We start from the raw sequence: 23,798 nt of genomic DNA, 5'->3' as shown, positions 1-23,798 counted from the left end.
GTGATCCTAGGAGAAGCTATAATTGAGACTTTCCTTTTCTTCCACCTTGTAACAGCTTTAGAGCTGGCCAGGGACAAATAGTATCTTGTTTTTAGCTTCTCCTATAGGTAATGTTGAGCAACTAGAATCTATTAAAATTGATTCATAAACTACTACAAACTCTTTGATGTTATTAAAAGATCCAGGACCAATCAGCAACAAAATATAATCAAGTACTATGCAGTCCACCCAGGGCTGCTTATTCAAAAAGTGGATGAGGATGATGAGCTAAAAGACAGACATGAAAAAATCTGTTTAAAAAACAAGTTATCTTATTTTAAATAAATAATTTAGAGACTTGGGATAGAGTTAAAACTTTTTTTAAATTTGAAAATAGAATTTTTTGTACTTTGGATCATGAAATTACATTATTTTGTTTAGCAGGTATGTACTGAATCTTTACTATGTGAAATATTAGCAAAGCATATTGCCTGCTTTCAAAAAATAAGTCAGACACAAACAACTAAAATTGAAGGCAGAAAATATCTGTTACAATAGAGGGTCTAAAAATGCCATTTAAGACAGAGAAGAAAGAGATTTATTCGTGGTAGAGAAGATTAGAAGAGGTTTCATAATGGAAATAGCAACTGATTCAAAGCCAACAAATGGACAGAAATGTGGGGACATAATAAAACCAACCAAAGCCCATTATGGGCTGCCTTTAGAGACCAGCAAGTAATCCTGCCTGTCTGGGGCAGTGGAAAAGTGGAAATAAAGTTAGATGAACTGCAGTCAATCATGAAGACCCCAAAATGTCATCAGAGGAGTTGGGAGTTGATTTTGAAGACAACAGAAAACCACAGAAGGGTTTTGAGACAGGGAGTAGTAATCAAAACTGTGTCTTAAAGGGATTATTCTGACACCATGCATAAAATTGATTTTTTAAATATTAGAGGTAGAAAGATCAATATAGAAGTCGTTGTTTCACTAGGCTAGGTGGGCCTGAACTATGAGAACAAAATCAATGTAGGTGGCAGTTCTGTAAACTTAAAACAGGAAATAGAATCAAGGGAATGGATCACACTGGGAAGAGGGATGATAGAATTTGGGGACTGATTTCAGTAGTGAAAGAGGAGTAGAAGATGTTTTGAGGTTTAATGTCTGTGTGCCAGGAAAGTTGACAATGCCCTTAAAAAGAGAAAGGAAACAGAGAAAGATGAGGTTTGAGGAAAAAAGAAAAGCGATGTTTCATTTATTCAATAAATTTGTATTAGGCACTTACTATGTGCCAGGCGGCTGCTCTGGGGGGATGAGAGAGTTATCTTTAAATTTTAAAGCTCTTTATGTGGAAGAGGCACTGTTCTCAATCTGTGCTTCTCCGAAGGCAGAGCTGGAGCAGTGAGTAGAAGCAAGGTAGGAAGTGAAATATCTTTCTAATAAATTGAGGCTTCGTGAGAAGTAGTAAGAGCTCTGTTACAGGCAGTATTCAAGTAGAAGTTGGAAGATATTCCTCTAGGAACATTTTAGCCAGGGATGCCTACGTTAGGAAGAAGGTTAGACTAACCTTTCTGCAAGTTCTCTCCCAATCTTAAGAGTCTGTTTCTTCTGATGATCTAGTCCTGTGGGTTCTATTCTTAATCCCTGGTTTCTCCCAATTATTAAATAAATTACTCAGTCTATCTGCCATTCAGTAAAACTCACACATTTACATCTGTTATTCTTGAATTATTTTGGGTTAGGGCTCATCTTCTTTATTAAAAAAAAAATCTATCCAGTTAATGTTACCTTTATAGCTAATTTAGAATGGTAACCCTGGTAGATTGGGTTATAAATATCAGAGGGGAAAAAGGATTTCTTGTGCCTAATAATACTTTTGTTTGGAAGAAACCATGCAAACAAGAAATAAATTATCTTGACTTCAAGATTGCGATGCAGTTTCTGTATTTTGCAGTATTTCAAAAAAGAAAAAAATATATATCTCGGAGAGGCTTATTTTGCTATAGCATGGTAAAGAAACAGAATAATTATTCTCCAAACACTGCAAAGCTTCAGATCAGAAACGTTTATCTGTGCTCCATTTAAAAAGGAAGAAGAAAAGACAGGAAAGAAAGGAAAAGGAGAAAGGGAACCTGTCGTGAGCTCTGTTATAAGCTATAGTTCAAGCTTCGCATTTCCTGGTGTCTTTTGAAACGTAAAATTCCACAACAAATAGCTCTGTAACGTATAACCAGTATGAAGATTCAATTCAGATTTAAGCACTTTGGTTTGCTTTTGAATCTTGCTATTTTCTGCATTTGTTTTGACTGCTCTCATCATTCAAGATTGACGCTTGGATGGGTGTGTAGGAGGAAGCAGCAGCAGCAGGCTTACAGCTTGCAGACAAAAAAAATCTGCCTTATCTGATGGCTATTATTGAAAATGCGAGGTGTAGCCTGGGCTGGGTAATGAAGGGGAGCGAGCGAGGGGGAGCAAGGAGCATGGAGCTGCATACTGATGAGTGTAGGAGTACTTGATAAAAAAGAATTCTGGCTGCCGGCCGTGCATTGCTCATTGTGGAGTACTCCAACAATCACATAGAACGCAGACCAGCCCAAGCTGACAGCTTGATATGCCTTCTTCTGCTGCCTGGTTTTGGGGGCTGTATGACGTACTGGTCGGTAGTAAAGATTAATATGTAAGAAATGTGGAGCTAGGATCAAGTCATACTCCACAGCCTGCCTGGCAAACTATGTTTTACTTCTGACTTTGCTCTCTCGCTGAGAACATTAATCTGTCAAGCTGGCGGGCTCCTTTGATAGCAACTTTCCCAGGGGCATGATGTGGCAATGCCACCTCTCAGCCCAGGACTACCGCTATTACCCCGTGGACGGCTACTCCCTGCTTAAACGCTTCCCTCTTCATCCTCTTACAGGACCCAGATGCCCTGTCCAAACAGTGGGACAATGGTTGGAAAGCATTGGGCTACCTCAGTACGAGAACCACCTGATGGCTAATGGATTTGACAATGTGCAGTTTATGGTAAGAAGCTCTCTGTGTCCACGGAGCTGCCTTTTGTCTGTCTTTGCTTCTTATGTGTCTTACATGGCTCAGAGGCAGCCTGATTTGCACCAAAACTGGTCAGATTTATATATGTAACTGCATTGGAAAATTGGATGCCCTTAGGACTGAACTTGCTGTGTACATATAGACTCTTGCTAAAAAATGAGATCTGTATGTATCCATATACATATGTGTTATATGAATGAACTGGTGAGAGTGCTATTTATAGGCAGTGAAAGAAGATTAATATTGATATTCTCCCTGTCATTCTTGGTATGATTTTTTAAATAAATTTGTAATCTTAGAATACTCGGATTATATCACTCTTCAGCTAATTCTTGATTCTTATATTATTTCACTTGAGCATCAGCATTTAGTGGTTAATGAGACAATTTGTTGTGTTTATGGTGTGAAGATCATTTCTTTTCCTGATAATTGTTCAATAAGCAGTTTAAATCATGTGGACAACCTTCAGTTCATTAGCAAACTGCTTCAGATGGTCAATTATGGAGAGCGTTTACTTCCACTTGCTGATTGAAGAGCGATGAAGTATTGTTTATTACTTTAGGTGGAAAATAAACACTTTGGTCATTTAGCTGTCAATATTTAGAAAGAAAGGTTGGTGGAGTAAGTATAGTCATGTACTTCTGAATTCTGGTCTACATGCAATCTAAACCTGGCATGTGCTAACTTTCCACCGTTTTGCATATAGGTGAGGAAGGAGGATGGGGAACTGTGCAAACCGACAATTCAGCTTTCTAATCATTCCCATACCTCCCCCAGTGCTCATCAGTTCCCCTTGTTAAGCTACGTCACAGCTCTATTACCTTTCCTTGCTTTTAAGTACCCATCACACATATCACTGATCCCTAAGTTTAGAGAGACCTACATAACACAGGCATGTAACACACAAATGACTTGTGGAAATAAGTAATAGCCCTGCCTAAATACAGTAATAGGGCTGACACCTGCAGCTTACTAGTACCAGAAATGATAACACAATAGTGACAGCTGATTAGATTTTTTAATTTCTATCTTAGATTATTTTTCTCTGAGGTTGACTTGAATATTATAGATTTGAAGATTATTAACATTATTCAACTTCTGCTCCTTCTCCAAAAGTATGTATGCCCAAGAGTTTTTAAAAATAAAAAAGACATAAATATAGTAAGATATATGAGCTCTAAGTAATTGCATGCACAGAATGCTTTATGAGTGATTTGTTGGTTTTTTTATACTGATATATGCAGCTACTGTTATTTTTCTTGTGTTTATCAAGTACTGTCACTGGTTATATAGACAAGATATTTGGGTATTGAAATGGAAAAAAGTGAAAGTTCTTCAATTGCTATGAAAGTCTTAGAACACTGGGCAGATTTAGGACAGACTTAGGACACTAAACAGATGGCATTAAGAATTAGAAGAACTATCAAACAGAATTGAAGTCTTTTTTTATTATTTATGTTTACTGTACATTTCAATATCTTAATTATTTCTCCCTATGTCTACTTGAAATAAGGGTTTCTCATTCCCAACCCTGAAACCCTTGTCCAAATTTATTCTGGTCCCATGAGAAGTTAGGTCTTTGGATTTCCTGGATCATTTGGCCAAGCTGAAAGACTTTAATTCAGCTTATTTTTCCTCTGAATGTTAAACACTTATGAGCAAATATAATACCTTTTTGAAAGCCTCGAACTGAAAGGTTAATCAAACAGGTTTCAAATAAGCATTCAAAGAGAGATCGTAAAAATTATTCATGAATGAATCATGTATAAGCACTTCAAAATTTATATGGAAGGCAAAATCCTGGATATACATGATGTAACCAAGGTCTAATCATAGATTATATTCTTTACTTGTTTAATTCAAAGTATTTGGTATAATTTTCTAGAAAATAAGAAAATATTATTAACTTAGATGGGCCAATCAAATACTTTCTTCATGAGACAGAATTATCTTTTAAAAAAACTTTGAATTGCCATTTAGAGGAGTTAATTAATTATGAAAATGAAGCAAATCATGAAGTGGTATAATCAATTAGTGCTTTACATGCTGTTATACACCATTTATTTGCTACTAGTATCATAAGCGATTAATTTCTACCTTTATAAAAATTATTTATTGATCTACATAATCTAATTTATGTAATTGCAAACTTAGTTAAACACATGAATATGATTGGCTTGCTCTAAGAAACATATTTCTTTAATGTGGTGAAAAATCTGTTAGACTTGCTTAGTCTCCACTCAGTATCATATTCTAGCTTTTGTTTTTCTTGAAGCACATTCTGACCTGCATTTATTCCTCCTGTTGCCTAAGCAACAAGCACCACACTCCTATTAACTATGATGTAGTGCATGTCTTATTAGTGTTTTTGAACAAGACAGTAGAAATCAAAAGGGTATAATTAATGTTGGTTGAAACATCATAGTGCATCCATGCATAGATGTACTTTATTTAGGAAATATTTTCAGGAGTTAATTTTTTATTCAATCAAGAATCCATTAATGAATGTGCATTTAAAGTGTCCATATAAGTCACTTAAAGTATTTATTGAAAGCTTTAAAAATTATTTGCTAAATCTGTTCTACATACATACTCTCACACATAAATGCAACACTTGGATGATTTATCTCCATAGCTATTATTATCTTTAATAAGGACTATTTTCACCAATGTCTAGATATGGTTAGAAAAGAAAGACCCCAGTTGTTTTTTGTTTTTGGTTTTTTTTTTTTTTGAGTGGGAGTCTCACTTTGTTACCCAGGCTGGAATGCAGTGGTGTGATCTCAGCCCCCTGCAGCCTCCATCTTTCCAGTTCAAGCGATTCTCCTGCTTCAGCCTCCCAAGTAGCTGGGATTACAGGTGTGCACCACCACACCCGGCTAATTTTTGTAATTTTAGTAGAGACAGGGTTTCACCATGTCGACCAGGCTGGTCTAGAACTCCTGATCTTAAATGATCCGCCTGCCTTGGCCTCCCAAAGTGCTGAGATTACAGGCATGAGCCACCACACCTGGCCCCCAATTGTTTTTAAATATTTGTCAATTATTGCTCCTCCTTCAGGCTGATATTTATCCTTGATTTTACTGATGTGTGATTTTTTCCCTGTATCTTAAAGACAAAATTTCAAACAACTTTTCCTTTGTGTATTTCATTTTGATTTTCAGTTTGGTTTGTAGAATAGTTGTGCACATAGTTTAGATCCTTCTGTGCCCTTAAAAATGTAAAATAAATAGAAATTTGTACAATCAATGAATAGTTTCAGAAGTACATCAGGTCACCTAAGACTTAAGGAGAGTCACATCTATGTTAAAACCAGAAGCCCCTTCACAACAGAATCTTTTGTCTGAAAATCTGCCCAGATCCCACCTTACCTGTTTATCCCCTCAGAAGTCAAATATCATCACCTCCCTCCTGCTTGGCAAAGCCTACCTGATACTCACTAACCTCTGGGAATGCTGCCATGCCTTCTGACATTTCACTCACTTCCCCTGAGTTTGCAACATAGAGAATGTGTCTAAGTTTCGACATTTTTTTTCACCAAGGAGTTTAGGTATGAAGTGATTACTATACAAAATGTGCATGCTTATTTATTTCCTTGTTATATTTGTCTCTACCATCATATTTATTTTTCAAAGTCTAATGACTGCTTCCTAAATTTTAAGTCCCAAAGAATCTATTCTTATCTTAATAACTTTGCTCATCTGTATTCTCTACCCGCTCCTCCTGGACAGACATTTCCTTTCCTTCCCTGCTGTCTTTTATCCTCAAAGGTATAACTCAATTCTTGCCTAGTTTAGGTAGCTTTCTTTAATGGCTGCAGTACAGAACAGGCTCTTTTCTCCTGAACTCACGCAGTGGTTACATTTGACATGAAAAAAATACATTTGGCATGCCATGATTCTCTCTCTAGAATTAGGAGTTAAGTTTTCACTTGTATGTATCTTGTCTCCCCAATTAGACTGAAAGCTTCTCAAGTCCAAGTTCTGTGTATTCAGTTTCCTTGCTTTCCTCACAAGTCCCAGCATAATGCTGTGTGCGTAGAAATCAGCCTGTAAAAACTGAAAGCACAACAGATTGTTGTAGGTGGACCTCCAGTCTCATTTTTAAACTGGAAGCCTTATTTTGCCAATGGGAACATGGACCATTAGTACCCTTCACTCATTCATGCAGCAAGCACTCCTTAGATATCATTTCTGTGCCAGAGACAGTGTTAAGTACTAGGGATGTAACAGTGAATAAGACATGACCCTTACCTTCAAGGGGAGTACAGTATTTCCCTCAGACCTATATTATTTGCATGCACATCACACATACACACGTTTCTTCATGCACACATGGGTGCACACACACTACACCACAGGGATCTTGCCCCTCATTCTTCACATAATCACCATCGCTCAACATATGTATTTACTAGCAATTGGTGTGTCAGCAGCAAATTACAGTAGATAATAGAAGAGGTAAAATCTATCATAGCTTGAAATAAAGGAAGATGAAGATACTGATGATATCAAAACACTGGCAATGTTATGGTAGATTCATAGTCTGAAGACTGTATTAAGGAGTTTATATTACTTGGAGGAGGACTGACCAATAACCTCACCATGATAACTAGCTGACAGTTATATTTATAAACTAATCAAAATGGGAGAAGAATGAAATTATTACCAACTCATTTTTTAAAGCACCTCCTGCATTTCTAACAATTGCCATCTAGATTGACTTGGAATGCTTTGACCCTTATTAAAATGTTCAAAATGCAGCCTTTACAGAATAAGAAATAACAATAATACTGATAGCCCTACATGAATTGGCATTTTCATACACTTGGGTGGATAGCATTCATAAAGGGCTTGCTGAAGGTTAAAGTGAGTAGTGCCTATTAGACACTGAAGTGGAACCACAGAGCTCTTGGAGTCATCCATTTCAACAAAACATTTGCGCATGATAGAGCTCATACGTATTTCATTAAAACTTTTTTCCCATTGCTATGGTGCATTTTACACGTTAATGGACTTACATCTCTTTTCCACTTTTACATAACTTTTCTATAATGAAAACATCATTTGCAGTTGGCCTGAAAAAATGACCTTTTAAGTATCTTAGTAGCATATTGTGATCCAAATAAGAAGTTAAACTTGTGAAGTAGAAAAATTAATTGTCCTTAAAAGGTGAGATTAGTCACCCCCCTCCCCCCGTGATAATTTCTTGTTCCAATATTGGTTAGGAAAATTTTGTGAACTTACTGAGATTTAAAGATACAAGAGAAAAATACCTGCCAAATTTCCTATACCTTCTTATTTCTCAAACAGTCTAGGCTCAGAGTTGAGTGGGTGGCCTTATGTTGAAAGTACAGCTATAGTTTTCTAAAATAATTTAAGCCAATAGTTACAAACCCACTTTTGAAAGAAAAAAAAATAACCTTTTCAACTGCCGGCATTTAAATATCTGTTGGTATCTAAAAGTCAAAGCCAAGCAGGAATTATTGTTTATCTGGACAACAGCTTAATTACAGATATAATAGGCACAGCCTTACAGTGGTGTGAGATAGAACCAAAGTAAGACTTCTCATTTCCACTATCTTGTTTCTCTATGATTCAGTTTACTCATCTGTAAAATCAATCTAATGAGTAGTCTAGAAGAAATGTTCTTTCCAATTGTTATTTAATATTTTGAGCTCTTTAAAGAGGCAAGTACAATATTGGCGCTGGCAGAGCTACTAATTGTTCTTGTATATCCCATTAGCCTTGCACGAATACTGATTGCTTGTGCAGCAGAAAGTCAGAAATGAGGGCATGTGCAGGGATGACCATCTTAGAAGAATGGCTTTCAGAAAAAAAAAAAAATTGCCATGATTCAAATCTTGTGTTAAAAAGGAGCCTTTTCCTCCTTCTGGAAGTTGCTCTGATTAAATTTTTAAGCATTAAAATATGCTGCCCCATTTTCTAATAATGCAGTATATAATACAACTCCCATTACTAACTAATGCTCACATGAATAGGCCTTTAATTTAGTCATGCAGCATATTTGCGTAATTTGATCTCCAGTATTACTTCAAATGACCAGATATTTGAGATGAGAAATTTACCTCATGAATCAGAAAAGTTACCAAAGCTGCTGAATTACAGCCTAATTTTAAGAAATCCAGCCACAGTCATATTTCTACTCTTCTTTAAAAAGACAAATCTCTCAAACAAGTGTTCAGTGGCAGTGACCTCCATTTTCTCACTTCCAACCACTTCCTTAACCCTATAATCCAGCTTGTTTCTCAACTTTTCTGCTGAAATTGCTCTCTTTTAAGTCAGCTCTGATCTGCTTCTTACCAGTTCCCTGCCCCCTGCTTGTTCTTCCACTTTTCTTCTCTTAGCTCTCTTTACAATATCTGATTTTCACTATCCACTCCTCCTTGTTATTTACTCCCCGTTTGTGTTCCATGACAGTATACTCCCCTTTGCAATCACCCCTGTTCTTCTACTTCTCCTCATGCCTCCAAATAAGGGTGGTGCTCTACACCTTTTCATCCCTTAGGGAGATCCCTGGTTCTCATAGATCCATATCTGTTCTCCATGTTTCACCTCTTTCTACCTGGTTCCCAGTGCTGTCCAGCTACTCAATAGATATTTCCAAATGCAAAGAGCGTTTAGCACAGACCTGGCATAGAATAAATGCCCAGTAAATGTTAACTATCCTACAGCCAGAGTGATCTTTCTAGAGCACACATTTGCTTTAGCACTACTCTGCTTAAAATCCTTCAAAGGTTCTCAGTTACCTATGGGAGAGATTATAGGGCATTTCTAAAATCCTTAATATGGTTTTCATATTTAGGATCCTTAATGACCTGGCCCAAACTGATTTTCCTGCCTTATCTTTCACCGCTTCCTCTTTTTGCAATAGAGAACTGCATGTTTTTCTTTCATTGCCTGGCTTTGCACATGCTACTGTCTCTGCCAAGAATGATCTTCCTTTCCCTCTTAACTCCTTTTTATCCTTTAGCTCTAAGCGTACTTGTCACTTTTTTTAGCTCTCAGTTCTTTTCTCAATCTCCAAGTATGGGTTAGGAACTCTCCTTCTATAGTACCCTTTTGAAAAACTTATCTTACAGGGGTACATTACCTCTTTACTTGTCCATCTATCCCCACCACTTCTGCCATATATAAACACTAGAACAGGGGCCAGCAAACTTTTTCTGTAAAGGGCCAGATGGTAAATATTTTAGGCTTTGCAAGCCACATGGTCTCTATTGCAACTACACAACACAGCTATTGTAGCATGAAAGCAGCCATAGCCAGTACATAGATAAATGGGCGTGGGCATGTTCCAATAAAACTTTATTTACAAAAACAGGCGGATCTGGTCAATGGGCCATAGCTCGCTGACCCTACTTTCAGTTTCGAGCTCCTCATGAGTTAGATGTATGCTTTTATCCCCTGTATCTCCAGGCACAGCCCATAGTTTACACATGTAGACATAGGAAATGTTTAATGAGAGGAGGAAGAAAGCAGATACCGAGGAAGGACAGGAAGAAAAGAAAGAAAGCAGGAGAAAGGGAGTGAGGAGATCAGGCAGGTGGCTACATGAAGGGTTTCTGAAGGCCTGTTTAGTTTAAAGAGAAGCCAGCCAATAGCTGAGGCTGTTCAGAGCACGATCCAACCTTCAGGAGTCTGACGAGAGCTAGAGAGGGTGTTTTTGCTTTAACCAAGCCGACTAGAGTATATTTTCAGCAAGGAATTGCACAGGCACAGGAACTAGAAAAACACAGCTGCAAAGGAAGCCTGTTGTTCCCTCTGTTTGGAATTCCTTTTTCTTCCTTCTTCACCTAATTGCGTATCATTGTTCATGAATCAGCTTAAGCATCACTTCCCCCAGGAAGTATTCCCCAACACTATCCTGCCGTCTGGCTGGCGTAACTGTCCCTCCTCTGTGCACCCACGGTGCTCTGTTCTTAGCCCTAAGCTAGTCCTTATTCTATTGCATCACAGTTCTTTTATCTATTCAGATGTCTGCTTCCCCATCCCCCTAACAGAAAGTAAATTCCTTAGAGGCAGAGATTGGGTCTTGTTCATCTTTCTAGTCCTAAAGCCTACCACAGGGCTTGGCATATAGTAGCTTCTTAATAAATATTGATCAAATGGAATTTTTAAGTTCTATATATTTCCATGTAAATTATCCCATATAATTCTCACCATATACTGTAAGCATTAGTATACCCATAATTCTATATAGTTTCATATAATTCTATATAGTTCCATATATTCTATAAAATTCCATATAAATTATCCCATGCTAAGTATTAGTATACCCATAATTCTATATAGTTCCATATAAATTATCCCATATAATTCTCACCAATACGGTCAATATTAGTATACTCACAATTAGAAATAAAGAGGATGAAACTCAACAAGGTTAAAAAAATTGCCAGCAGAGCCTAGATTTCAAAACCAAACCTCTGTAACCTAAAAGTCCCTGCTTAATTCAGTAAAAGGACAGAATTTCACCACTTCTCCCTTCACTTATTCAGTGATTGTTTCTTGAGCCACTGCTATACTGCAAGCACTAAACAAGATACTAGCCCTGCCCTCAAAGCACTCCGTTTGTCATACTTCTGGTCCTTTGAGAGACTTTATCTTACCTCTTAGCTTCTCACTTGCTTGCTCTGCTTGTCAAGAGGATGTCTGCTTTAACCAGACCAGAATGCTCACTGCCAAATAAATATACGCATTCACTTTTGTTTACAGTTTCCCTCCTACCTAACATAGCCTATGTCCTCGCGATTGCTAATCAAGGAAGACCTACCTCAAGGTTCTAGGTGCTCCCCTTGCTCCAGGGAGCCTTCCGCTACTGACCTGGAACTTGCTCACCTCTCCAGCCTTATCTTTCACTGCTCTTAAGCTCTGGCCATGTTGGATTACTTACAGTTCTACAACAGTGCCACACCTGCTCAGATATCTGTGCCTTTGCATACACTGCCTCATATAAACACTGTTTTCTGCCCAGAACTCTTGCTTCTTGCACTCATTCTTGCACTCTTACTTCAAAGGCCTGGCTTAGAAGTCCCTGCTGAGGAGCCTTAAACAAGCCTTTGGTAATACTCAACTGTCCTTCACTGTCCTCCCATGACACCTTGTACATACTTCTCTTGGAGCAGGTTTATTACATGGGACTGAAGTATCTGCTTCTTTTCCAAACTTCTTCCCCTGAAACAAATAACAGTGCCCTGTTCAGTGTTAGTTTCCCAGTTACTAGCACATAGTAGGTCTTCATATCAGTTTGCTATGGCTGCCACAACAAAGAACCACAAACTAGGTGGCTGAAACAAGAGAAATTTATTGTCTCACAGTTCTGGAGGCCAGAAGTCTGAGACCAAAGTGCCAGCAGGGTTGGTTCCTCTGAGGGCTATAAGGGAAGGAGCCATTCTGGACCTATCTCCTTGGTCACCTTCTCCTTGTGTTTCAAATCTCTTCCTCTGTGCATGTCGAATATGCACCAGTCATATTTGATTAGGGCCCACCCTAATGACCTCATTTTAACTTGATTATGTCTGTAAAGACCCTATCTCCAAATAAGGCCACATCCTACTATATCTACTAGGATGTGTATCTATATCCACATATCTACTAGGGGTTAGAACTCCAACATATAAATTTGGGGTGACACAATTCAACTCATAACAGTTCTCAATAAATGTGTGTATATGTGTAGCCTTTGTTTATTATCCCCCACATTGCCAAGCACAGTCCATAATGATCATTCAATAAATAGTTATTTAATTGAATTAAACTCAGTCTACGTGAGGTTTACATAAGATTCCAGATGCCTGAAGGATCTCTTTCATCAATGATGAATTCAATCTTTCTAATAACTTAGAGTTTTTCATAGATGGGTAATCATATACAGATAACACTGCTATTTAATATGAGAACTGGCAACACCAGAACCAGGAACTTGTCACCTTTCTAGCCCTACACTCTTTCCATTTTATTTTGCAGCCTCTTCCAGTACCTAAATAAATCACACTTACAAGAAATATTTATTTGGGTTCCATCCTTACACTTGATAACTACCTGATAGAAGCACTCCAAGGAAATTGATGATTAGGCAAGTAATGTTTTATAGAAAGAAAAAAAATATAGCCAATTTAATAATATAACTATTGTTTATCAAGAACTTGTTATATGATTATCACATACATTATCTTTACCCCCTCACAAATGTTACACAGTATGTAGTATTATTCCAGTTTTACAAGGGCAAAACTTAGTTATAGAAAGACTAAATATATGGTCCAAAGCACTGAAGATTTAAACTGAGGTCAATCTGAGTCCATAGGGAAAAGTTTTCAATAAGAGATACTGGGGCAACATATCTGAGTGAGCTGAGAAAGATCTGAGCCCTGGACAAACAAAAGTAGCGTGAGCATTCCTTGATCTTGGGTGGATGATGATTCAGAGGAGTATCAACAAGAGAGGTGAGAGAGAAGAAAAAAATGGCCTTATACAGATATTAAGCAGTCTAGACTAAGGAAACTTTCTCACCATACACAGGGTTGTAAAAATACAGATGAATTTCCAGGTCAAGTTTGTTCTCAGACCATGAGACCTTCTGAGTGGCAGTCATTTCATTCATGCAGGAGACACCACATCAAACAGTAGCAGTGATCATGGAAGACATGATCTATCTTTCAGTTTAGTTTTTTCTGTGGTGTAATGAGCTGTCATAATAAAAGGCTATAGATTTTTATCCACAAGAAAACTCAGGCTACAAAGACACAGAAACAACACCTTACAGGTCATTGCATGCGTCTCCCTGACTTCATTTCAGACAACCTAGGCTAGTCTGTGTGAATCAAGCGCATCGCAGGCATTGAGAACTATCCATTCATTTGAGAGTGTATGATCTAAAATAGTAACTGAAGAACAAGAGCCCTTGCAACTCTACTTACAAATTACAGAGGTGAGAAAAATAAAATGGATAATTAATATAGGCCTCTGAATATCAGGTCACTGATTTCTGCCCCTTGAGTCCATAGAATTAGATTTCACATTGTTATACTTTTACCTTCTCTTAGAAGGAGCAAAGATAATTAGAATTCATATTGAAAGAATTATGGAACATCTTGAGTTTATAAGCTAATGTCTGGTTTCATGCCTGGCAAAGAGAATTAGGCTTGTCCTTCCAAAGTCTTAAGGGAGATCTTGAAATCTGAGGACTAGAAACAAATGTATCTCAAGTTTATTTGACAGAAGTTATATTATACATTCTTTTTTCAGAAAGGTGTAATCCTGTAGAGATAGAGCTGAACATTTGGCATTCATCAGGCCTGTATAACAATATGGCCCATCCAGTTATCTGTTAGCCTAAGACAAGTAAACAGGAATATTCAGGCTGGCAAACATCCAGAAATCCCTCACTGTTTCAAAAGGAAGCAAGCAAAAGATCATCCACAACAAATCAATCATTTAAGAACTGCTGAATAAATAGCAGTGAGGTTCTTGTTGCAGGGAGTGGGGTAAAGGGTGTGTTATATAGTTAAAAATGCAATCCATTGACTTCCTGGTAATTAATTGTAATATAGTGGAAAGAAGAACACTATATCAAATTCTTATTGTACTTTATAGTTTTTTAAACTCTTACACATGTATTATCTCAATTATCTTGGAGGCAGAAGAAATAGATTCTATTTTTAGTTCTTGCATAATGCTGTGATATTAGGGAAGCCTTCTTCTCTACCCTCTCTGAGCAAACTCAGATATAACCTGATTTTTTTTCAAAACCTTCCTCAATTCTTATTCTGCTCTAGACACTATCCACTTACTCTTCTTCCCTTCATAACCAAGCCTCCCAAAATAATGCCTACACTTGCTGGTTTGCTCTTCAGAAAAATACAATCAGGCCTTAATACCATCAGCCTCTGTCATCATCCTGAAATTATTTATAAATGGCAACCAATAAACTCTCAATTGCCAAAGACAATATACTTTTACTAGTCCCTGTTTACCCGATCTTTCTCTGGCCTTTGATTCTGACCACTTTTTTTTTTTTATGACAACTCTTTTTGTCCTTGACTTCTAACCTTGTCTCTGTTATCTCCTCCTACCTTCTCAGTCTTCCTTGTAGCCCTCCCTGCTTCCGCCTGTACCCTCAGGCTTAGCCCTTGAGTCTCTTCTCTTCTCACTCTGCACTTTCACCTTAGGTTACTTCACCGATACTCAACAGAAGCAAAGTTTTCTACCTCCTATATATTCTACTGACCCCTCAAACTCAAAGTGTTTAGAAAGCTTGCTCCATGGGAAAGTTATCAGGTAGAATGCTACCAAAAGCTTGCTCCATGGGAAAGCTTGCTCCATGGGAAAAACTTGCTCCATGGGAAAGTTATCAGTTAGGTAGAATGCTGATGAGAGATCAAATGAGAATCAACCGAAATGCCTATCAATGATAGACTGGAAAAAGAAAATGTAGTACATATACTCCATAGAATACTATGCAGCCATGAAAAGGTATGATAACATGTTCTCCGCAGGGATGTGGATTGAGCTGGAAGCCATTATCCTCAGCAAACTAACACAGGAACAGAAAACCAAACACTGCCCGTTCTCATTTATAAATGGGAGCTGAATGATGAGAACACATGGACACATGGTGGGGAACAACACACACTGGGGCCTATCAGGGGTGGGGGTTGGGGGAGGGAGAGCATCAGGAAGAATAGTTAAGGTATGCTGGGCTTAATACCTGGGTGATTGGTTGATCTGTGCAGCAAACCACCAAGACATACATTTACCTATGTAACAAACCTGCACATCCTATACATATACCCTAGGAACTTAAAATAAAAGTTGAAGGTGAAAAAAAAAAAAAGAAATGAGACTAGAGAAGTAGCCACTGAATTTGGCAACACAGAGGCTCCTGGAGAACTTAACAAGAGCACATTCTGTGAAATGAGAGCCACGGAAGCCATGTTGCATTGGATAGAAGAAGTAGTAGACAACTGTCAAAAGAAGTTTTTCTGATAATGGGAGTACGGAAATACACTAATAGCTAAAGGGTGACTTGTGGGGCAAAGGGAAGAATTTTTTAAAACAGGAGAGACTGGAGTCATGTTTGGCTACTGAAAGGAATGATTAGGTAGAAAAAGAGGTATTGATATTGGAAAAGAAAGAAGGATGGAAAGAATAAAGATGAGAGAGGTTGGGATCCAGAGCCAAGTGGAGAGTTGGTTGCTAATGGGGACATTCCTGTGATAACAGGAGGGAAGACAGAGAGAGTGGGTACCATCATGACTGGTATATGAGGCATTGAGAATATGGAAATATGTTTCTTCTGATGGTTTCTGTTTTCTAGTGAATAATGCTGTAAGGATGTAGAAGATATAAGGATAGAGAAGATATTAAAAAGTTGTTTCAGAGAGTGGGAAGGAGAGTTTACTAGGAGAATGGAGTAGGATTACAGGGCCATGCTTAGGGCTCATTTGATATTTGTAATCATTAGATTCAGCATGGAAAAGACAATCATGCTCCACAGGAATTAGAAAGACAATTGCACTTTAAGGCACAGAATTGCTTCCATGGTTCTTTACCTACTTGGTGTGAGATCGTGGGCCAGTCCCTCAACCTTCGTGAACATCTGTTTTCCGTGTGCAAATTGAGACAGTATACCTAGTTCGCAAGGTTTTATTAAGAATTAGATTAAGGCCAGCTCTGTGCTTTCAGTAGGCAATGAATCATGATGGTGACAAGAGTGCCTGTTCCATTTAGCTGGCAAACAATGTTAGAATTACTGATTAGCCAGTGAAATGGAGAAATTGGCACAGGGCTTCATTGCTCTTACCCTCATAATATATTGGATACAAGGAAAAAGCTTACATGAATTATTCCAGGAATACTGAAATATCCATAAACCACCTAGCTCAGCGACCTTAAATCAAATAACTTTAAAGGACTTTGGAAAGTTAGTCACCTTAATTTACTCTTACTCACCACAGACTGATTAGTTGACTACATGGACACTCAAAGAACTGAGCCATTCAGGTGAAGTGGCCATGAAGTAGTGCAGGTTGTTCGCAGAGTACTGTGGGACTTCCATGGACTAGATTGCACTTAGCACTTTCCCTAGGAAACATGCTCAAAGACACCCACTTATTATAAAATGTTCCCTTAACTACCAATGATAACATTGTGATGATTTTTATGAGACTATTTGAATCCTCGAGAGTCTAGTAGCTTTGTCCTCAAGGGTAACTAACCTAAACTTGCATTCAGACTGTGAAGTATATTAACAAATATGCCACAGCATTTTAAAATGTAAATCTATGTGTTTCAAATCTGCATCTTTTATCCTTTAGCATGTGTTGACAGTCTAAACTAGAAAGTAGATAAGCCTTTGTTAAGGAGTTCTCAGGAGAATCCTTTTGAATGGATCCCAGGAGGGTTATCCATTCATTCCTAAGGGAACACCTATTAAGTACCTATATACTCATCTAACTGTGCTAAATGTGGTAGAAACTACAAAGAGCCATAGTACAGCATCTGCTTAAAGATCCAACAGTCTACTCAGGGAGCTAAGACTAGCATACTTAACAGCAAATAGCAAATCACATTCAAATGTTAATAAAAGCCAACAATGTAAGTGTTTTCACAATATAAAATGTAACTATTGGAGAAATTAGTGTTAGAAATCTATGACTGGCTGCGCACAGTGGCTTGCACCTGTAATCCCAGCCAGTTTGGAAGGCTGAATCAGGAGCATTGCCTGAGACCAGGAGTTGAAGACCAGTCTGAGCAACACAGTGAGACTCCTATCTTGAAAGAAAGAAAGAAAGAAAAAGAAAGAAAGAAAGAAAGAAAGAAAGAAAGAAAGAAAGAAAGAAAGAAAGAAAGAAAGGAGGGAGGGAGGGAGGGAGGGAGGGAGGGAGGGAGGGAAGGTAGGGAAAGAGAGAAAGGAGAGAAGGGGAGAAGGAGAGAGAGAGAAAGAGAAGAAAGAAGGAAGAAAGGAAAGGAAAGAGAGGAAGAAGAAAGAAAGAGAGAAGGAAGGAAGGAAAGAAAGAGAAGGAAGGAAGGAAAGAAAAACAAAGAGAAAAAGAAAGAAAGAAAGAAAGATTGATTAGCTGGGCATGGTGGCCTATAGTCCCAGCAGCTTGAGAGGCTGAGGCGCAAGGATTGCTTAAGCTCAAGAGTTCAAGGCTTCAGTGAACTCTGAGCACACCACTGCATTCTAGCCTGGGAAACTGAGTGAAACTCTGTTTCAGAAAAATAGAGAGAGAGAGGTTGAGGGAGGGAGGGAGGGAGACAGAGAGAAAAAGAAAAAAGAGAGAGAAAGAAAAAGAAAGAGAGAAAGGGAGAAAGGGAGAGACAAAGAAAGAAGAAAGCAAGCTGAATATGATGGAGATGGAAGAGATATCTATGAGCTGGAGTGATGGTGAAATCTCTGGAGGAAGTGGGCTTGAGTGTATTTATGTAAGCAGTAAAGAACGGGGTGAAGGACATAACAGTGAATGGAACAATGAACAAAGATGGTGAGATGTCAAAATGCATGTAGTGTTTGAAGAGCAAAAGAGCTACGGATCTATTGACAACCCTAGGGGTCATGTAATGCCTCTCTGAGTGGAAGTGTTACCTGTCTCCTGAAACTGTGCTTCAGACACTATACATGCACCATATGAGAAGACAGCTTAATGACCCGTCACTGTGCCCAGATAGGCTCACCCAGATGACAGCACACACGTGCACATCACACAGACAGCAAAGGCGGGTGAGTATGGAAACAGCTGTCTGAGACTAATTAACCATCTATTCCAGATAATGCTGAAGAAAATGAAGTTATTTGTGTTACATTAGGTATCTCTCCAAACAAGCCCATCTTCCTGAGGGCTAGTACATTTTCTGAAAACCAACAGCAAATCTGTTTTCAATAGTTTCATATCATCTGGAATATCCTCCTATCCTCCAAAATGATTTATTCACCTATTAGAGCTTCTGCTTCTTAAAAGATATTCTGTGTTCTCAGTTGCAATAGCTAAAGCAATAATCCTCACTTTCACCTTGGAATAATGACCACTGCCAAGAAAACCCATCAACCTTCTCATCAATAAAACTCAGTTTGTCTGAAATGTTCCAAGAATTCAAACAAAGAAACATTTGCTTAGTTTCCACTTTCATATGCCAGATGTTATGCTAGGGCTTCTAAATACAAACATTGATCATAGTAATGATGCTAATAATAATAATAATAAACACATTTGCTTACATTTCAGGCACCACTATTCTAAGTGTTTTACATCTATTAACAATTTTAATTATTTTCAAATGATAATATACTCTGTCCCTCCTCTCACAAAGCTCACAGCACTGTAACTGATTGGAATTAAAATGGAGTGAATCAGGCAAGGCTCCACAGAAGAGGTCAGGTTTACCTCTTGATAGATTAGAAAAATTTGCAAGCTGAAAGGGCTGAGTGATAGGAACAGCTTTCAGGCAAGCGGAACAGCATATAATTAGTATGGAAGCACAGAAAAAGCATGGCACACAGGGGTTATTCAGTAGTTGAGCCCAGTTAGTGGGCAGGGGAAGAAATGAAAAGAGGAAATACATAACACCATTTAAAAAAAATGAAAAGAGGAAATACATAAAACCAAGGAGGTTTTTACCAAACAGGGGCCAGGCGATGCAAAAGTCCATTTTTATTCTGCGCCAACTCAGATCTCCACAGCCCTCTCTGTGTAACTGAGAATGGATAGGTTTGTTTATTTCTGTCTTTTGATGTGTGTGAATCTCTGCTTTCCTTCCCCTCCACACCCTCAGCCCTGTTTAGTTTGAAGTACTTTGAGGAAAGGACATTGCAGTTCTCCTCTCTCTTACTCGTGCAGAACCTCCCAGTGAGCAGTCAATGTCGTTGACTGACTGGGTAATCGTTGGCCCCTGGTTGTAGGTGATTATCTGTGCTGCCTGACAAGGCCTAGCGTCCAGGGATGGTAATTACATTGGCATCAGTGGTGACTTCTGGTGTCAAAGATCCTGTTAGAAAGCGTTTTATTGATACTAATTCAGAAGACAGTTCTGTAGCACAGAGAAAACAGTGCACTTTAGAAGCTGTAATCAGAGCTTCCCATTTCAATGGCAGTATTTGGAGCTGAAGTCTAGATGCTAAAAATTAAGGCTTCTCTGCTTCCTGTTACCGCACAACCAAGACAATGACAGCACTAAATAGGGTCTTCTCTTGTGTCCTTGAAAGCACTCTTGGAAACGAGAATGAGGAAGGAGCTTAGCAAGTGAATGAGTAGATGCCTGTGACTGGTTAGCCGTTTGATTGATAACCTCACCTTCTTCCAAAACAGGTGGTCTACATAGACACAGGAACAATGATGCCAAGGACAACTTAACTACACTGTAGCAAGGAGAGTAAAATTGACAGAAAGGAGCACACTTTAAAAAAAATGAAATAATACATATATAATTTTCAAGCATTCAAACAAATATACAAATAAAACTTTAATACAAACCATTTCCTGCATTCTTCTCCCTGTTCCCAGCCCCACTCTCCAAAAGCAAATACTTTCAATATTTCTGTGCTTAGTCCTTCTGGTGGTTATCTCCATATAACATGCAAATGCCCTTAATTTTGGCTTTATCAACTTTAGATATTATTTACTGACATTCTGATGTGAGAGATGAGGATTTACATTGTCAATACTATCATCTCTTCTCTCTCCTAATTCCTCTACCCACACTACAGTTGCAAACTGAATCTTAGCCCACAAATTCAAGTGCGACAAAATATAATTTTTTTGTGTGTGTGTTTCAAGTCAACTTAGTTTTTACTCCATGGCAAAGCCAGCATGAAATTCCATTGCCATCTGGATTGGCTTCTCCTGTTGTCACCCCATAATACTAGAGACCTTAGTGCTGCCAGGCACACAGGGAAATCTGTACTGTATGGTGGTCCCTGCTGAAGTCCTCAGCATCCAAGCTTGCATTGGGACCTGAAAGTATTTCTCTGCTTCTATGCCAACTCGTGGGGTGTGGGAAGCCGTATCAAGAATGAAAACCCCATACCTGGGTCCTGAGAGGCAGGGCACCCATGATAATGATGGTTACACCCATTTGCACAGTTACTGGGAACATTAGAGTTATCCTAGAACTTACCTTTTTTAATCTTGTTTAATCTTTAACCCTGTTTAATCTTTCCTGTCATCTCTGATTACTTTTCCTTCATCTTGCATTTCCTATCTTTACTTTATCCTTAAGATTTTCATAGTCTCCATCATACTATCTGTTTTTCTGATCTACATTTTTCCTGGGACCCATCTCCTTAGTCTTCCTGTCCGAAGCTGGGCTGTTCTCTGAGACTGCCACACATTAATCCTTAGTCTTCCTGTCCGAAGCTGGACCTGTTCTCTGAGACTGCCACACATTCATCATTTTGGGACTCTCTTCATTGCAGTCCTCCATTGAATCCACTGTTTCTTGGATGCTTTCCTCCCTGTGTCATTTTTCATATTGCCAGAGCACACATTCAAATAACTGTTTATAAAAGAAACAGCTGAGAAATACATGAAAGATTAATTTCTAACCCTTTGTGAATCTAAAAATGCCCATATTCTGCCCCTGTGGTTGATTAATAGCGTGGCTTAGTATGTCATTCAAGGCCGGATGTAATTTTTCTGAGTATGGAAGACAATGCTCTCTTGTCTTACAGTGTTTGATGTGTTTGATGAGGAGTCTGACGTTGTTTCTTTTATCGGTGACCTTTCTCCCTCTCTGGAAGTTTCAGGATCTTCTCTTTATCCTCAGTGTCCTGATGTGTCACTAAGATGTGACTGAGTGGGTGTCTTTTTCATCCTGTTCCACACTTGGTAGGCACTTTAAATATAAAGGTACATTTTGGGAAATTCCCTTCTATTATTTCTTTGATCATTTCTATCTATCTCTTCGTTTCAATTGCCTTTTTTGTGAAATCTTCCTAGGCAGGTGTTGGATTTCTTCCATCATTCCTCCATGTCTTTTATCCTTGTGCTCACATTTACCAACTCTTTGTATTTTCATCTTACACTCTAGGAGATTGCTTTCAATGTTTAAATAGATTTTTAAAATTTTGGCAATAATATTTTCAATTTCTCAAGGCTCTTTTTCTCTATTCCTTTTTTGGCACCCTTTTCTTTTTCCTCTGATGTATTGTTTTGAACCTGTTAGAAACACCAGTTAGAGGTTAGTTATTTTTATATTGAGATTATTGGAATTGTCTTTTGAGTTAGTTTTTCTGCTGTGCATTATTTCCCATTTGATCTTTGTCGCTCGTGCTAAAAGCTATCCTCTAATGACTGTAGTTTGTGATTTTCTGTTCATATTTCAGGAAGAGGCAATGGAAAAGCAAACTGGAAATTCTGTGTGCATTTTTTTTTAATTTCCAGGTTTTGTGTTGTGGTGAGCAGAATGTCCCTATAATGATCAGGGTGTCCCAAACACCACTGTACTAGTTGCTCCAGCTCTCCCCAGAAAGGCTTTTTAAAATGTCTTTAGAGAGTTAGCCTTACTTCCTTTTTGACCTGAGAATGGAGGGTAAATGCCTGGTGTGTGTGTGTGTGTGTGTGTGTGTGTGTGTGTGTGTGTGTGTGTGTGTGTGTGAGAGAGAGAGAGAGAGACAGAAAGGGATAGAGACAGAGAGAAACAGAGAGAGAAAGAGAGATTGGGGTGGGGATATGTGTGTTACAGGCAGGTGGGCAGCTGTTCAATACACAGACCTTTAAATTCATCCTCATTTTCTACTCACTTCTCTATCTCCTCCTCCATCCCATCTCCATTCTCTCAGACTGAAACTTCCGAGGTTCTGATGGGCAACTTGGGCTCTTTTTTTGATTCAGGACCCTCTGCAAACACACTAGCCCAAAGCTACCTCTGCCCCACTGCATCATCTTTCCACGCTCTTTCTGACTTCTGGAAATTTATTGAAATCTCCCAGATCCATATAGCTTTTCTCCAATTATCCTCATTATTGTTAGATCATGAATTCTTTTTTTAGCTTTTTTTACTGGGATCTAAGAGGAGAAAAAAGATAAACCAATGGGCTCAGTACACATCTTGAAATAGAAGTACAGTAACACGTTCCTTCTTTATTCATTAGATGATACCAAGTGAGGAAAAAAATCGTTGTCTATAAAAAGCAGTAGTAATATCATCAAGCCACAGTTCCAGATATTTCTTCCCTAGAGGGTAGCACAGTGGAGATGATTAAGGAGGTAGATTCTGCCTAGATTCAAATTCCAGCCCTGAAACTTACGAGGTATATTACCTTAAGAAAATTACTTAATGTCTCTGTGCTTCAGTTTCCACATGTGGAAACCGTCACGGTAACAACATGCTAATTCCATTGGGTTGAGTTGAAGTTTATATGATTCCATTCATGTCAGGCACTTTGGAACAACAAGTTCAGGCGCTAGTTATCATCGTTGCTATTATTGTCCCAATTTCAGGAAAAGGAGGCATGAAGTAGAGCCTCTGCAGTAACTTGACATCTTCTAAGATTGCAAAGAGACAGCCCGGAGTAAATAGGCTTATGGGCATCTCTAGTTGGGCCACAACTTCTTAGCTTTTCTTGCCTTGGACTTCTGAAGGAAGTGATGACACAGACATTCAGTCAAAAAATATTCGTGGACCATTATAAACATGATTGTGGGTTTAGAACATAATTTCTGCAGCAACCCCTTTCACTGAAGAGAGAGAAAAGAAATGAGAAGTTATGATGCCAACAATATTGTGGCTGTAAAGGAGAGAGAATGAGTCAAC

The 23,798-nt window shown here is 38.4% G+C and overlaps 1 protein-coding gene across 51 annotated transcripts in view, besides 1 other annotated feature; it reads left to right on the top strand.

Moving 5' to 3' along the window:
- Positions 1–23,798, top strand: part of ANKS1B (ankyrin repeat and sterile alpha motif domain containing 1B) — a 1,250,151-nt gene that overhangs the window by 827,651 nt on the left and 398,702 nt on the right. For 22 of the 51 annotated variants that reach the window (XM_006719514.5, XM_006719507.5, NM_152788.4 and 19 more), the window contains one exon: positions 2,891–2,997. In XM_006719514.5, coding sequence (XP_006719577.1) covers positions 2,891–2,997 — 107 coding nt within the window. Of the gene's footprint in view, positions 1–2,195; positions 2,317–2,356; positions 2,479–2,519; positions 2,998–23,798 lie in introns of those variants that run through there. The other 29 variants (NM_020140.4, NM_001352197.2, NM_001352196.2 and 26 more) reach the window with 4 other exon arrangements.
- Positions 2,166–2,665: an enhancer, noted in NCBI's record as "H3K27ac hESC enhancer chr12:99548399-99548898 (GRCh37/hg19 assembly coordinates)". NCBI's record gives its function as "activates a minimal SCP1, AML or CMV promoter by ChIP-STARR-seq in naive H9 embryonic stem cells {active_cell/tissue: H9 hESC(naive)}" and the evidence as "EXISTENCE:reporter gene assay evidence [ECO:0000049][PMID:30033119]".

The sequence above is a fragment of the Homo sapiens genome, chromosome 12 (assembly GCF_000001405.40).
Source record: "Homo sapiens chromosome 12, GRCh38.p14 Primary Assembly".
NCBI lineage: Eukaryota > Metazoa > Chordata > Mammalia > Primates > Hominidae > Homo > Homo sapiens.
The sequence above is the reverse complement of the archived record's forward strand: the minus strand, read 5'-3'. Positions and strand labels throughout refer to the sequence as shown.